The sequence below is a fragment of the Homo sapiens genome, chromosome 9, assembly GCF_000001405.40.
Source record: "Homo sapiens chromosome 9, GRCh38.p14 Primary Assembly".
NCBI lineage: Eukaryota > Metazoa > Chordata > Mammalia > Primates > Hominidae > Homo > Homo sapiens.
In genome coordinates, this window is record NC_000009.12 from 19,354,442 (window position 1) to 19,372,003 (window position 17,562).

At 37.3% G+C, this 17,562-nt stretch overlaps 1 protein-coding gene across 39 annotated transcripts in view; it reads left to right on the forward strand.

The window, feature by feature from the left end:
• DENND4C (DENN domain containing 4C) overlaps positions 1-17,562 on the forward strand; it is a 143,769-nt gene that overhangs the window by 123,929 nt on the left and 2,278 nt on the right. For 26 of the 39 annotated variants that reach the window (NR_169852.1, NR_169854.1, NR_169850.1 and 23 more), the window contains 6 exons: positions 2,531-2,713; positions 3,524-3,719; positions 5,803-6,048; positions 7,405-7,522; positions 15,396-15,546; positions 17,315-17,379. Coding sequence is in view for 24 of the 39 variants with exons in the window: in NM_001386047.1 (NP_001372976.1) it covers positions 2,531-2,713; positions 3,524-3,719; positions 5,803-6,048; positions 7,405-7,522; positions 15,396-15,546; positions 17,315-17,379 (959 nt within the window). In the remaining 15 variants the exon portion in view is untranslated. Of the gene's footprint in view, positions 1-2,530; positions 2,724-3,523; positions 3,720-5,802; positions 6,049-7,404; positions 7,523-15,395; positions 15,547-17,314; positions 17,380-17,562 lie in introns of those variants that run through there. The other 13 variants (XM_047423585.1, NM_001386039.1, NM_001386045.1 and 10 more) reach the window with 9 other exon arrangements.

The following is a 17,562-nucleotide window of genomic DNA, read 5'->3' on the forward strand; positions in this document are numbered from 1 at the left end:
ATAGCCTTACCAGCATTTGGTATTATCACTTTTTAAATTTTGGCATTGTTTGAATTTCTCTTGATACTGACAAATTTGAGTGTCTCTTCATTACTTGTTATTCTAGCCTTTTTTTTTTTTTTTTTTTTTGGAGACAGAGTTTCACTCTTGTCGCCCAGGCTGGAGTCCAATGGCACAATCTTGGCCTACAACGTCTGCCTCCCAGGTTGAAGCGATTCTCCTGCCTTAGCCTCCCGAGTAGCTGGGAGTGCCCACCACCATGCCCAGCTAATTTTTGTAATTTTTGTAGAGATGGGGTTTCGCCATGTTAGCCAGGCTGGTCTCGAACTCCTGATCTCAGATGATCCACCCACCTTGGCCTCCCAAAGTGCTGGGATTACAGGCGTGAGCCACTGCACCTGGCCTGCTCTAGCATTTTCTATGAATTGGTTGCTTATGTTCATTGCCTATTTTTTTTTTCTTTTTTGGCTGTTTGTTTTTTTTTTTGAGATGGAGTCTTGCTCTGTCACCCAGGCTGGAGTACAGTGGCGCAATCTTGGCTCACTGCAAGCCCCACCTCCCAGGTTCATGCCATCCTCCTGCCTCAGCCTCCCAAGTAGCTGGGACTACAGGCACCCACCACCACGCCCGGCTAATTTTTTTGTATTTTTGGTAGAGACAGGGTTTCACCATGTTAGCCAGGATGGTCTCGATCTCATGACCTTGTGATCCGCCCACCTTGGTCTCCCAAAGTGCCGGGATTACAGGCGTCAGCCACCATGCCTGGCCATTCATTGCCTATTTTTCTATTGATCTTTCTTTTTCTTGTTGATCTGACTTGAATATTATTGATATTAATTACTTGAAAGCATTAATTTTGATGTCATCCATTAATTTTTTACCTTGCAATTTGTGCTTTTGGAATCTTGTTTTTAAAGTTGTTCCCTATCCCTAGGACCTGAAATTTTTATCCTTGAACGTTTTTGCTTATATTTTACTTTTGATGTTTAGGTCTTTAATATATCTTTATTCTACTTTTTATATATGATGGTAGAGATCCAGCTTTCATTTTTCCTCCATGTAACAATCCAGTTATCCCAATATTATCCACTAAATAACCTATCCTTTGCTTACTGCTATATGGTGTCACCTTTATCATATTTCAGTTCCCATGTATACCTCACTTGGTTCTGCATTTTCTTGCTGTTTTTCTTAATGCCATGTTGTTTTCATCACTTGGTCCTTGTGTTGTATCTCTGGTTAGTAGGGTGAGTTCCCACTCTTGGATTGTATTGTTATTATTTTTTGTATGCTTGCTCTTTCCTGTGAATTCTTAGAATAAGTTTGAGGTCCTCAAAAAAAATCCAACTAGAGTTTTCTTTGAGATTTATAGATTAATGTGAGGAAAATTGACTTTTCTATTATTATTATCTTATCTGTGAGCCTGGTATATCTCTGTATTTTTTTTCAGATCTTCTTTTATGTCCTTTAACACAGGTTTAAATTATTCTCCATAAGTCCTATACTTTTTGAGTTAATTGTGTTTTTAAGCTATCGTGACAAGCATTTTATTTTATATTTTTCAAATTGGGTATAAAGGAGCATTATTAAGTCTGTCCCCTGAATATGTTGTTATAGAAAATTTCAAGCTTACAACAAATTTTAAAGGTTTTTTTTCAATGAGCACGCAAATATCTACCCCTGCGTCCTTCAATTTACACTTTACTATACTTAGTCTATCACCTATCTGTCTCTCCACCAATCTATCTTAAATTTTTATTCATTTGAAGGTGAGATAGAGATATTAATACATTTCTCCCCCAAAGACTTTGATATGCATATCATTAGAGTTCAGTATTTATTGACAATTTTTTTATTTTGAGATAAATTGATATACAGCAAAATGTACAAATCTTAAACATACCATTTGAAGAATAAATGCATGTATTTGTGCAAATTAAACCCTTAGAAAACATTACCATTACCTCAGAAAATTCTCTAAATGTTCCTTGCAAGGCCCTTCCCTCCTCAAGTCCCACCCAAAGAGAGAAGGAGAGAGATAAGATGTAAATAAAACAATGAACAGAGAAGAAATGATTAGAAACAAGATGGAGATTTATAAGTGATAAAAGACATTATAAGTAATTATAGGTTAATATATCTTAAAGTGCTGCTACTGCAGCTCTTTATTTTTTTTTTTAACTCAGGAAATTAATAAAATATTTTGCTTTCCCTCTTCCCTCACAGTTTTCTTTAGTGGTTCTCAAAAATTGGAATATCATTTATTGGACCATTTCCAACCTTGTATTTGAAAAGTTTAGGATAGGAGGGGAAGAGAAAATGAGAGCAGGAATGTGTGTGTGTGTGTGAGAGAGAGAGAGAGAGAGAGAGAGAGAGTGAGAGTGTATTGGAAATAGGCCGTGTTTTCCTTCTGGATTATATATAATTTTATTAATGACTGCTTTAGCAATAAAATGATTCTAAATATGATAGAATTTTAGAAAACTTGAGGATTTTTAAAGGCTCTTTTTCCCCCCTTTTCCTTATGTAGCTTTTTCCTGAAACCAAGTACCTCTGGTGACAGTTTACAAAGTGGAAGCATTCCATTGGCAAATGAATCCTTGGAGCACAAACCTGTATCCAGTTTAGCAGAACCTGACTTGATCAACTTTATGGACTTCCCAAAACATAACCAGATCATAACTGAAGAAACAGGCTCTGCAGTTGAACCAAGGTATCAAAGGGTACAGAGACCTCTTTATGTAGTAATAAATGGGGTACCCTTGTAAAAATTCTGTCTCTAAAGACAACCTGACTCATATAGGCATAAGTTCTGGCATTTAAGAGTACATCTTAACTTATTACCACATAGTGTTTAACGAGCTAATGAATGAATCTGATGATAAACCATTTTTGAACTAAGTTTAATATTTTACAGTTGTCTTTTACAAAATGAACTTCTCAACAGTAAAATATTTCCCTTTTAATATAGTCATTGCCAGTTTCCAGAGGCGAAATGTTCTCTTTCTGTGAAATGTACACTTGGCCCTTAAATACTAATTGAATCAAACATTTATTGAGACTCTATTGTATGCTAAATATTATGCTAAGCTCTAAAAATAAAAAAGTAAATATGACTGGGTCTCTCTCCTTAGGTGGATCGTGGCCTAGTAGAGATTAAATACTTGTCAGTGTCTTTATTGTACTTATTTGCATATAGCATACTTCTAGGTAATTTTGTTTAATAAAGATGAAATAATATTTGAGTAAAGCAACTGAATGGGTACTTTGTCTTTTTAAAATAATACCTGTATATCTACAATATGTCATCTTCCCACCCCTCACCAGAACCATCTACTCCATCCTGTTTTTCTGACCAGTTTTACAAAAATGGTTGAAGGAAATGCAATTCTTACAAGGTGGTGCTGATTCTTCTTAGATATATTTAGTAGACTCAAGGTCCATTGTAGAAAATACTCTAGCTCTACAGATTTAGACTGTTTTTCAACATGAACATAGCATTTCTTCTATATTTATTTTTAAGTGATGAAATAAAGAGAGCCAGTGGAGATGTCCAAACTATGAAAATTTCATCTGTGCCTAATAGTTTATCAAAGCGAAATGTGTCTTTGACTCGAAGTCACAGTGTTGGAGGCCCATTGCAGAATATTGACTTTACCCAGCGACCGTTTCATGGCATCTCAACAGTTAGTCTTCCAAATAGTCTGCAGGAAGTTGTGGTATGTAACAACAACAACATTGTAATTATACTGCATACACACCTAAGTATATAGTAGAACATTATAAATTCTTCTGTAGTGGACTTATTTTAATTACATGAAAAGTGATAGAGTTTTTCCATAAACAAATAACTTTTTATTGTGGAGAATTTCAAATATGTACAAAAAGAAACAGTATAATGAGTCCCCCATCATCTAGCTTCAGTTATTTTCAGTTTATGGCATTCTTCTTTTATGTATATTCTCATTCAGTTCTCTCTTTTTTTGAGATTATTTTGAAGCAAATTTCAAACATCACATATTCTGTTAGTAAATATTTCAGTATGTATCCCTGAATGATGAGGACTTTAGAAAAATATAATCACACTGCTTTTATCATACAAAAAAAACCCCAAATAATAGTATCAAGTTATTTAGTCTGTTCAAATTTCTGATTGTCTCAAAAATGTCAAATGCATATGTGTGCTTGTGTATGTGTGGGTTGTAGTTTGAGGAATCAGGATCAAATAAAGTCAGTGTATTGCACTTGGTTGATATAGTTTTTAGTCTTTTTGAATCTGTAGACTCTTTTCCTCTTGCAATTTATTTGTTGATAAAACTGGTTAGAGTACAGTTTTCCATAATCCAGATTTTGCTGATTGCAACGATAAAAGTTGGAATTTGTGTCCGGAACCTTGATCAGATTTGGGGTTTTTGTGTTAGTGTTCATTTGCTTGTTTATTTTTGTAAGACGATTTCATCAGTGGTGGTATGTTCCTCCCAGCAGGAGACATAAACATTAGTAGCTATTAATGCCTTAATGCCTAGATAAAGTAATTCATTAGGAGCTATAAAATGATAATGGTCTCATTCTGTCATTTCTTCCTTATAATAAGGAATACATAAACAGAAATTTCCCTATGTCTCTGTTAGATTTTCAAAAGATAAAATTTATAGTGGAAAGGCAGGTTAAATGCTTGATTTTTTCCTTTTATTTAGAGTTTTCAAAATAGCGAGTTGAGTCCCTGTCATTCTCCAAGGTCATCAATTAATTTGGAGGAATAGGGTATCATTATGAGCTCATTGATTTCAACATTTATGTTTAATTAAGTAATTAATTTTTAGAGATGGGGATCTTGCTTTGTTGCCCAGGCTATTCCTAAACTCCTGAGCTCAAGTGATCCTCCTGCTTCAGCCTCCCTAATAACTGGAACCACAGGCACACACTACCATGCCTTAAACATTTATCTTTATATCTATTGCTGTTTTTATCGTTGTTCATGCTTATATTATTCTCTTTGGTCAGCTAGAAGCCTCTAGAAGTTAGCTCATTAGTCCTTTTGACACAACTCTAGTAGCATTTTTGTAATTTTTAAAAAGCTTTCTTGCTTTCTTATATGACAAGATGTTTTATGCTTATGTTATATACTTTCTTACCCAGACCTAGAATCAGCTGTTTCTCTAAGAAACTGTGGGTCCCTTTAGAGGGAAATGGTTTTGGAGACCACAGTCTAGGCACCAGGGGGACTCACTGTTGATGAGAGAGTCTTAAACATTTTATCCTGATTATAATATGCATAACTCACAAAGTCTAGGTTGGGTCTTTTTTCATTTCTTATTTTATTTGAATTATAAAAATGCTATTTCTTTAATTCCTTCAGTTTTTGTTGCAATCAGTTGTAAAAGTGAGTTAAGTCAACAAAGAATATTAATGCAAAAGATTGCCCCATCAGTTTAGAGTTGTAGGAGGAAGATAATGTCACACAGTTTTTACACACATACATTACTATAAAGCATCTGAAATGCAAATATTTCTTATAAAAATTGAAAAAAACCTAATACATTCAGGCCATTGCTCTCAGTGTGATAGAGAACATGTTTTAAAGAGTCTGTTGATTAATTTTCTTTTGTAATGATTTAACTTAACAGTATTTAAGTATTTTCTTTTTTAGGTTTTCATTCATTAGCATATTCTCTTGCATGTAGCAATGGTCCTAAAATAACTGATTTAAAAAGGATAGAGAGGCATTATCTCATTGAGAAGTGCTCTTGAGCATACAGATTTAAACAGATAATATTAATTTCTTTTTGTATTTTTTTTAAGGATCCTTTAGGAAAAAGACCCAATCCTCCCCCTGTTTCTGTGCCCTACTTGAGTCCTCTAGTACTCCGTAAAGAACTTGAATCTTTGCTAGAAAATGAAGGTGATCAGGTGATTCATACATCTTCTTTCATCAATCAACATCCAATCATTTTCTGGAACCTCGTTTGGTATTTCAGACGTTTGGACCTTCCTAGTAACTTGCCAGGACTTATCCTCACATCTGAACATTGTAATGAAGGTGTACAGGTAGGGTGCCAACTTTTATACTTACATTAGTATTCAGTAGGATGAGGCTTAACTTCAAGGTCCTGAAAGTATACAACAGTAGCAGCTTAACAAGACAGATTTATTTCTCTCTCACTTAAAAGTTTGGATAAGCAGTCCTGGAATGGTAAAGTGTTAGGAACCTAAGATCCTTTTATATTTTTGTTTAGCTATGCATATCCTCCATTTCCAAGTTCTGCTTTTGGTCCAGGATGGCTGATTACCTCCAAGCTGTCACATCTACTTTCTATCCAGCAGTTAGGAGAAAAATGGATGGAGAGGAGAGTATGTCTTTTTTCTTAAGGGATAGCTCCTGGAGTTGTAGATAATATTTCTACATATATTTTCTTGGCCTGAACTCAGTTATTAGGTCATATCTGTCTGCAAGGGTAGCTAGAAAATGTTGCCCAGGCTGGAGTGCAATGGCGTGATCTCGGCTCATTGCAGCCTCCTTTTTCTGGGTTCAAGTGATTCTCCTGCCTCAGCCTCCCGAGTAGCTGGGATTACAGGCACCCACCACCACATCCAGTTAATTTTTGTATTTTTGGTAGAGATGGGATTTTACCAGGCTGGTTTGAATTCCTGACCTAAGGCAATCCACCTGCCTCGGCCTCCCAACTGCTGGGATTACAGGCGTGAGCGACTGTGCCCGGCTGGTAGCTATTATTCTTAACTGTTCTGTTCCCAGCTGCAATTCTCACAACCACCTTATTTGAAAGGACCCATATTATCCATATTTTTCAGATGTTATAATTAAAAGTTAGAGAAATTTAGTAATTTCTGTAAGGTGACATACCTAATAAGTGATGGAGACCCAAGGTCACATTCTGGCTGTCTGACTTAAAAGCCCCAACTCTACTTATACTGGGATCCTGATTCCATTAGAGACAGTGAGCTCCTAGAGTGCTTTATTTTATAGGATTAATATTGATAGACACTCAGGCCCTAAACATATACATGGGGCAAAATAAAATCTTTCCTTAAAGTACTATAAACTCTAGTTTGATTAGGTAGGTGAAACAAAATTATTTGGTAAGGTAGTAGAACCTCTTGCACTTTGACCTTAAAATTTGCTGTAATGGTAATTAATCTTTCTACAACCATCATGCCAGTTAGCTAATTGTCATCCCATTTCTTAAAAGTCACACTGAGAAACCTTGACCTCAGAAAATAATAATAACATTTGTCATCAGACATTAATAAAAATTAAAATTTTGATTCTGAATTTTAGGTCCAGAATTTTAAAAGGACTCATCTGTTTTATATAATCAAGCTTCACTAGATCTACTGGTAATTGTTATTCTCGGGATACTAATACTTTCTTTTGATTTCTTTTAGCTTCCTCTGTCATCTCTGTCCCAGGATAGCAAACTTGTGTATATTCAGCTGTTATGGGATAATATCAACCTTCATCAGGAACCAAGAGAACCTCTGTATGTCTCATGGAGGAATTTTAGTAAGTAAAATAGAATTAAAGACATAACAGCCAGGTGCAGTGGCTCGCACCTGTAATGCCAGCACTTTGGGAGGCCTAGGCTGGCGGACCACTTGAGGTCAGGAGTTGGAGACCAGGCTGGCCAACATGGTGAAATCCTGTCTCTATTAAAAATACAAAACTTAGCCAGGTGTGGTAGCAGGTGCCTGTAGTCCCAGCTACTCAGGAGGCTGAGGCTTGAAAATCGCTTGAACCTGGGCAGCAAAGGTTGCAATGAGCTGAGATCATGCCACTGCACTCCAGCCTGGGTGTCAGAGCAAGATTGTATCTCAAACAAAACAAAACAAAACAAAGAGTTAAAGACATAAAAGACTCAAAATGGGAACAACTCAAATACGCATCCATAGGTGACTGGATAAGCAAATTGTGGCACATTCCATCCATACTGTAGGATATTGTTCTGCAATAAAGAATGGACTGCTGGGAAGAAAAAAAAGAAACAGAATTAAACTAAATTCCCCTAGAGTTAAATATAGAAAAGCAAATTATTTTGCTTTATTTTTAAATTTTTAATTAATTCAAAGTGATTTGCTGTTAAAAAAAAAAGTACACACACACACACACAAATGAAAAAGTGGTTTGCTGTTTTACTGACCTGTTTTTTAATTGTGACGGGTCTCAACTGAGTTGAGTAATTTTTTTGGTGATTTTTCTATCAAGTAAAAATTTGGTTGGCTATTTTGAGAGTAAATTCTATATAGCAGAAGAGTAATTTAGATGTGTTGGTATAGGATCATAAGTTCAGCTGTATTAATGGTTACTGACTGGTCTTAAGGGTTCTGGCTTCATTTTTAATCTTTTAGAGTATATTTTTACAAGGTGTTTAAAGAGTTATTATTCATGTATTCAAAAGCCTTGTGAATCAGTAAGAAAAATACAATTCAGTAGAGAAATGACCAAATGATATTAATAGGTAATTCATATTAAAAACATTAAGCAGCTTTCAAACTGTATTAGTTTGCTAGGGCTGCCATAATAAAATACCACAGACTGGGTGGCTTTAACAACAGAAATTTATTTTCTCACAGTTCTGGAGGCTGGAAGTCTAAAATCTAGAAAGGGATCAGCAGGTTTGGTTTCTTCTGAGGCCTCTCTTTGGCCTGTAGATGGCTGCCCTCTTGCTGTACCCTCACATAACCTTTTCTCTGTGTGTGTGCATGCACATGCACACATTCCTGGTGTCTCCTTTTCTTATAAAGACATCAGCTGTATTAGGTTAGGGCCCCACTTGGCCAGGCGCAGTGGCTCATGCCTGTAATCCCAGCACTTTGGGAGGCCGAGGGCGGGTGGATCACGAGGTCAGGAGTTCAAGACCAGCATGGCCAAGATGGTCTTGGTCATCTCTACTAAAAATACAAAATTCAGCTGGGCGTGGTGGTGGGCACCTGTAGTTCCAGCTGCTCGGGAGGCTAAGGCAGACAATTGCTTGAACCCGGGAGGCGGAGGTTGCAGTGAGCCAAGATCACTCCAGCCTGGGCGACAGAGTGAGACTCCATCTCAAAAAAAAAATTAAAAAAACATTAGTGCCCCACTCTTATGTCCTCATGTAACCTTAATTATTTATTTAAAGGCCTTATCTCCAAATAGAGTCACATTGGCAATTAGGGCCTCAACATATGAATTTGGGGGTGACACAATTCAGTCTGTAATATAAACATATTTTAAAAGCTCAATCATACTAGTATTAAGTGAAATATAACTTTATATTTTAAAAAAGGAAAATGTAGGCCTGGCACGGTGGCTCATGCCTGTAATCCCAGCACTTTGGGAGATCGAGGCAGGTGGATCACTTGAGGTCAGGAGTTCAAGACCAGCCTAGCCAATATGGTGAAACTCTGTCTCTACTAAAAATATAAAAAAAATTAGCCAGGCTTGGTGATGCACGCCTGTAATCCCAGCTACTCAGGAGGCTGAGGCAGGAGAATTGCTTGGACCCGGGAAGCAGAGGTTGCAATGAGCCGAGATTGCGCCGTTGCACTCCAGCCTGGGCATCGCAGCAAGACTCCATCTCATAAAAGAAAAAAAGGATAATGTGGCTGGCGTGGTGGCTTACGCCCGTAACCACAACACTTTGGGAGTCCAAGGCAGGAGAATCCCTTGAGCCCAGGAGTTCTAGGCAGCAGTTAGCTATGATTGCACCAGTGTACTCCAGCCTGGGTGACAAAGTGAGACCTCCCCGCCTTCCTGTCTGTTAAGAAAAAAAAAAAGGAAAACATAAACTTGTAACTGTCAGGTTGGCAAAAAACGTTAAAGATGAAGATTGTTTAAAAAAATTTAAAGATTGTTGAAGATGTTTGGGGAACACTTTCATATACTTTTAGATGTGTAAAATGATACATTTCTGGAGAACAATATGGCAGACATGTAGATTTCATATGTGGATACCCTTTAAACTCAGGAATTGCAGTTCGAGAACTCTGTTCTATAGAAATACAGTACACAGCTAACTGTTTACACAAGGATACTTACTGTAAGATTTTTTTTTCTTTTGAGACAGGGTCATGTCTCTATCTAGCACCCTGCTCATAAAGCAGGAATGTCACTCTAAAAGAAGGGCCACTGTTCCCAGCCCCAGCTCCAGAGCAGTGGCTTAGAAATTTTGCCCAGGGGCTGGGCACGATGGCTCACGCCTGTAATCCCAGCATTCTGGGAGGCCAAGGCGGGTGGATCACCTGAGGTCAGGAGTTTGAAACCAGCCTGGCCAACATGATAAAACCCCGCCTCTACTAAAAATACAAAAAAATTTGCCAGGTGTGGTGGTGGGCACTTGTAATCCCAGCTAGTTGGGAGGCTGAGACAGGAGAATCAGGGAGGCCTGGGAGGCGGAAGTTGCAGTGAGCCGAGATCGTGCCACTGCACTCCAGCCTGGGCGACAGAGTGAGACTGTCTCAAAAAACAAAAAGAAAACGAAAAAAAAAGAAATTTTGCCCAGGGGGAGAGGCAGGTCATAAGAATAGAGAGCTCTGAAATTTTCCCTAAAGGAAATTATTTTATTTGGAACAGAGTGTGGAGAAGTTTAAGCCTGAGAGCACTCTCAAAAACAGTGGAGATTTTGGTCAGAAGGCCATTATTACCCTGATACAAAGACCAATGACATCATAAGAAAATTAAAAATCAGTATCATTTAGTAATATAGACATAAAAATCGTGAATAAAATACTAGCAGATCAAATCCAGCAATATATAAAAATGATTTTACACCATGACAAAGTGGGATTTATCTCAAGCATGCAATTGTGGTTTAACATTTGAAAATCAATTGTGTAATATACTATCAATAGAGTAAAGGACAAAATTCACGTGATCATCTCAGGAGGCACAGCCAAATCATTTGGCAAAATCCATCACCCTTTGTTTAAAACACTCATCAAGCTGGGAATAGAGAAGATCTTCCTCCGCCTGGTAATGGGCATCTATGAAAATCTACAGTTGATACCATACTCTTAACATACTTTCTCACTAAGTACAAGTGTAAGACAAGGATGCCCACTTTTGCCATTTTTATTTACCATTCTACCAGAGGTTCTAGCTAGAGTAATTAGTCAAGAAAAGAAAAGGCATCCAAACTGGAAAGGAAAAAAGTAAGTGTATCTATATTTGCAGATTATATGATAAATGATATTTATTTTTTCTATATATATAATATATAGAAAATTCTAAGGAATAGACACACACCTAACATATTATTATACACACACACCATATTAGAACTGCATAAGTTCAGCAAGGTTCCAGGCTATAAGATCAGTATAGAGAAATCAACTATTTCTATATCTTTGAACAAATAATTCAAAATGAAACTAAGAAAACAATTTTATTTATTTATAATAGCATTAGAACAAAATACTTATGGATAAATTGAACCAAAGAAATGCAAAACTTACACTCCAAAAACTTAAATAATTGTTGAAAGAAATTAAAGAATAAGTAAATGGAAAGAATCCAATGTTTATGGTCTGGAAAAGTTAATATTATTAAGATGGAAGTAGTCCTAAATTGATTTACAGATTGAATGCAGTCCCTATCAGAATTTCAGGTAGCTTCTTTACGTAAATTGACAAGTGAATCTTGAAATTCATATGGATGTTCAAGGGACTTAGAATCACGAAAACAATCTTGAAAAAGAACAGTGTTATAGGACTCACAGTTCTTCAATTTGAAAACTTACTGCAAAGCTACAGTAATCAAGAAAGTAAAATACTGGTGTAAAAAGAGACATAGGTTGATGGAATATAGCTGAAGTTCCAGAAATAAACCCTCACATGTATGTATGGTCAGTTGCCTTTCAGTGTGAAGACCATTTAAGATAGTCTTTTCGGCCGGGTGCAGTGGCTCACGCCTGTAATCCCAGCACTTTGGGAGGCCGAGGCGGGCGGATCACGAGGTCAGGAGATCGAGACCATCCTGGCTAACACGGTGAAACCCCATCTCTACTAAAAAAATACAAAAAAATTAGCCAGGCGTGGTGGCGGGTACCTGTAGTCCCAGCTAGTCGGGAGGCTGAGGCAGGAGAATGGCGTGAACCCAGGAGGCGGAGCTTGCAGTGAGCCAAGATTGCGCCACTGCACTCCAGCCTGGGCAACAGAGTGACTCTGTCTCAAAAAAAAGAATAGTCTTTTCAACACGTGCTGGGACAACAGGCTAGCAATAATAAAAAGAATGAAATTGGATACTTCCTCAAATCATACATAGAAATGAACTAAAAATGGGTCATAAACCTAAATGTAAGAGCTAAAACTATAAAGCACTTAGAAGAAAACATAGGAGTAAATCTTCATGACTCCGTGTTAGTTAGGCAAGGCCTTCAAAAAAAGCAACAAAAGCACAATCAACAAAAGAAAAAGTAGATAAGTTGGATTTAGTCAAAAGAAAGAACTTCTGAAATTTAAACCATCAAAAAAGTGAAAGGTCAATCGACAGATTGGGAGGAGATATTTGCAAATCATATCTTAAAAAGGATTTGTACCCAGACTATGTAAAGTACTCTTACAACTCAGTAATAAAAAGGCAACCCATTTTTAAAATGAGCAAAGGCTGTAAATCAGTAGTTCTTCAAATAAAATGTTCAAATGGCCAAAAGCTCATGAAAAATGCTCAACAGCACTAGCTGTCAAGGATATGCAAATCAAAACCACAAGGAAATAACACTTCATACTTACTAGGATGGCTATAATAAAAAAAAATAATAACGAGTTAGTGAAGATGTGGAGAAAGTGGAACCCTCAGACACTGTCAGTTAGAATATAAAATTGTGCAGCTCCTTTGGAAAACAGTTTCACAGCTCCTCAAAATGGCAAACCATATGAGTTACCATATGATACAGCAGTTGCACTCACGTATATACCTAAGAGAAATGATGTCCACATGAAAACTTGCACATGAATGTTCATAATAGCATTTGCATAATAGCCAAAAATACGGAAACAAATGTCTATCAGTCTATGAATTGAGGGCTGAGCGCAGTGGCGCACGCCTGTAATCCCAGCACTTTGGGAGGCTGAGGCCGGCAGATCACTTGAGGTCAGGAGTTCGAGACCAACCTGGCCAACATGGGGAAACCCCGTCTCTACTAAAAGAAATACAAAAATTAGCTGGGCGTGGTGGCACATGCCTGTAGTCCCAGCTACTTGGGAGGATGAGGCAGGAGAATCACTTGAACCCAGGGAGGCAGAGGTTGCAGTGAGCTGAGATTCTGCTGCTGCACTCCAGCCTGGGCAACAGAGCGAGACTCCATCTCAAAAACAAGAAAAAAAAATTATGAATTGATAAATAAAGTATGGTATATCCATACAATGGAATTTCATTTGGCAACAGAAAACAATGAAGTACTGATATATGTACAACACAGTTGAATCTTGAAACCACTCTAGAAGAGAAACCAGTTGTGAAGGAGCATAGATTGTATTATTCCATTTATATGAAATATCCAGAATAAGAAAATGTATAGAGACAGAAAGTAGATTAGTGGTTGCCTAGGGCTAAGGGGTTGAGATGGGGTTTCTTTTTGGGATATGAACATGTTCTAAAATTGATAGTGATGATGGTTGCACAACTTCATGAATATACTAAAAACCATTGAATTGTGTATTTAAATTGGTGTAATGTTTGGTTTGAGACTTATCTCAATAATTGTGAAATTATAGCATAGTGTGAAGATTAACACTATTCAAAGTCTATCATTTAGCAGGTGGAAGACCTAGGATGAAAACTCATAGCAGCCAGTATTTCCTGTTATCATAACAGAGGACTTTGCTATTTTTTTTTTTTTTTTTTTCGGTTTAACACAAATGAACTATTACCAGTTGTCTTTATTTAGGGGCGGTGTTACACAATACAATATAATTAAATGTATAATGAAAAAGACAATCCGCCTGCCTCAGCCTCCCAACGTGCTGGGATTACAGCCATGAGCCACTACACCCGGCCGAATTACGTTCCTTCTAATTAGCACTAGACTCTGCTATATTTAACAGAAAATAACAGAGGCTGAAACAGGTAAAGATTATTCTCTCATATGAAGTTATTAGGCTAGGCAAATCAGGCTAGCACTTTTGGAGGCCAAGGTGGGAGGATCACTTGGGACCAGGAGTTTGAGACTAGGCTGGGCAACATAGTGGGAGCCCATCTCTACAAAAAATAAAAATAAAAAATTAGCTAGATGTGGTGGCATGCCCCTGTAGCCTCAGCTACTCGAGGCTGAAGCAGGAGGATTGCTTGAGCCCAGGAGGTCAAGGCTGCAGTGAGCTGTGATTGCACGACTTCACTCCAGCCTGGGTGACGGAGTGAAAAACTGTCTAAAAAGTTATGAATTACATCATGTTGTACACCATAAGTAAATACAATTTTTACTTATTGATTAAAAATAAGGCTAGACATGGTTGGCTCATGCTTGTAATTCCAGTGATTTGGGAGGCTGAGGCAGGAGGACTGCTTGAGGCTGAGTTCAAGACTAGTCTGGGCAACATAGCAAGACCCTATCTCTACAAAAATAAAATAAATTAGCCAACTGTGATGGTGCATGCCTGTAGTCCTAGCTATTTGGGAGGCTGAGCAGGGAGGACTGCTTGAGCCCAGGAGTTGAAGGTTACAATGATCAGCCACTGCACTCCAGCCTTGGCAACAGAATGCGATCCTGTCTCCAAAAATTAAGTAAATACATTTTTAAAAAAGAAAAAAAGTTATGTACTAGACAGTCTAGTACTGCTAGACAACTCCTCTGTCATCAGGGATCCAGGTTCCTTCTGTTGTACCTGCTTTTATGGCTGCTGGAGTACAAGCTATCACATTCCAGCCTCAGGCAGTAAGCCACCATATATTAGAAGAGAAAGGCAGAGTGACAGGTCTGCCTGTTTGAAGGGAGCAAGCAGGAAAAATATTTTTTAGTTGGGCACACTGCCACATAATTTTACTAGTAGTGGGGAAGTGCTATTGGTTAAGCAAGGAGAAAATGCGACAACTCTGGAGAAAAAACTTTTTAAATAATTGGGACTGGGACTGGGCACAGTGGCTCATGCCTGTAACCCCAGCACTTTGGGAGGCAGATTGCTTGAGCCCAGGAGTTTGAGACCAACCTGGGCAACCTGGTGAGACCCTATCTCTACAAAAAATACAAAAATTAGCTGGGCATGGTGGCATACATCTGTAGTCCCAGCTATTTGGGAGATTGAGGTGGGAGGATCACTTGAGCCTGGGAGACGAAGGTTGCAGTGAGCCATGATCACATCACTGCACTCCAGCCTGGGTAACAGAGTGAGATGTTGTCTCAAAAAAAAAAAAATAATAATAATAATAATAGTAATAATTGAAAAAAAACTTACTGTGTTCTTATTGTTAGATTCTGAAAAGAAATCATCTCTCCTGTCAGAGGAACAACAAGAAACAAGCACTTTAGTAGAAACCATCAGGCAGAGTATTCAGCACAATAATGTTCTTAAACCCATCAACCTACTTTCACAGCAAATGAAGCCAGGCATGAAAAGACAAAGGTAATAATCCAGTATTTTTTGCTTGCCACCACTCAGTCATTTCATGTTTTTAAAAAAATATCTTACTTTTAAAAATATCTCTAGTTGTCGAAGAAACACATACTCATTGCAAAACATCTATTGTTTTAAGTGCTACACAGATATATACATTCCTACTTGAACACAAACACATAATAAAAGTGTCTGGGGGCTTGGCACGGTGGCTCACACCTGTAATCCCAGCACTTTGGGTGGCCAAAGCAGGAGGATTGCTTGCTTGAGCTCAGGAGTTTGAGACTGGACTGAGCAACATAGCAAGACCCCATCTCTACAAAAAATAATTTGTCAGGGGTGGTATGTGCCTGTGACCTCAGCTACTTGAGAGGGTAAGACAGGAGGATTTCTTGAGCCCAGGAGGTCCAGGTTACAGTCAGCTGTGATCACACCGCTGCACTGCCACCTGGGTGACAACAGCAAAACCCTGTCTCAAAAAAAAAAAAAGAGTGGAAATAGATTCCATTTTAAGAAGATCATTCATTGATCTAAAGTGTACTGTCTTTTGGAAACATTACTGCTGTTTGCTGGAAACCTATAATTATATTTATTAACATTGATAAACTTACGTACCACTTATTCAGGGCCTGTGATACCCACACATCTTTTCTTTTGTTGGACATAAGAGAATATGGGAATAGGAGCAGAAACAATGTAGCAAAGAGATAGACGCAGTGAACTACAAAGGATATGGAGTTATTGTGCTCCTGTCACTATTGTCTGCTAATATGCTCAGATTAGTACTCATCCCCTCCTCAACATAAGTGAATTTTGCAGTAGAAGCTTCAGAATAGTGTGCGTAATCGCGTATATCAAACATTCCTAATGTTTCCATGGTCCCCTTCAAGTTTTTTAGGTCATGGCATCTTTGAAGATAATCTCAGAAGTGACAGGGCAAGAATTGATAATGAAAATGGATGGATCCATTTTTACTATCAGTAGTTGAGGTAGAGATGACCTTCTTCACAGTCTGTAATATGAGTAGCTTGCTTCAAGCATCTGTAGTTTAAGGACAGGAATGTAATATTAGAAATGTCATATTATGGCTTCTGAAGCTTCTAAAGAAAGTGATACCAAGTGTCACTAGAATCAGCCTTACGTCTTTTTTTTCTCTGTACATCAGTGCATTTCTTAAGTTTTCCTGTCATCTTTAACAACTGAGTCATGAAGCTCACTTTTAGTGTTTCATTTGTAACATTTTAATGCTCACAAACCAAATAAAGGTGAACTGTCCTTTGCTATTGGGTTAAATAGTAAAGAGACCACACCACCTTTTACATTGTTTGTGTCAAGGGTTTTAGACCCCTAACTTACTTAGAAATTAATCTGTTACTTTGTCAAGTGACAAAAGATGAGAGAAGACTCTGCTTTTGTAAATTTTATTTAGAAATTAGAGTTAAAACAGTTATGTATTGTTGAAATGTAATAAAGTTAAGCCATTTTTGTTACTAGTGTGAAGCTTTATGCCCATTAACTATGTTTTAACTTTAATTTGGAATAGAAACCTGCAGGAAGTTACAAAAATAGTACAGAATTCAATGTAGCCTTCACACAGCTTCCTCCAAATGTGACACCTCATATAACTAACTGTAATGTAATATTAAAACCAGGACATTGACATAGTTATATTACTATTAACTAGATGACAGAACTTAATGTCTTCACCATTAAAAAAAATGCATCTGTGTTTTTATGCTATTTGCCCATTGACTTTTAAAACATATTTGTTTTATAGGAGTTTATACAGAGAAATCCTCTTCTTATCATTAGTGTCTCTAGGAAGAGAGAATATTGATATTGGTAAGTTGGTTAATAAAAGATTATGAAAGGAAGTTTTACATTTTATTTTCAAAAGTAATTTTTAAAAATGTAGCTGGTATGTATAAAAGATTTAAAAGATTTCTACTTCTAAATATATAGTTCAAATACATATAATTTGACTCAATACCAATTTGAAATGAACGGCTGTTGTCTTTCTTAACA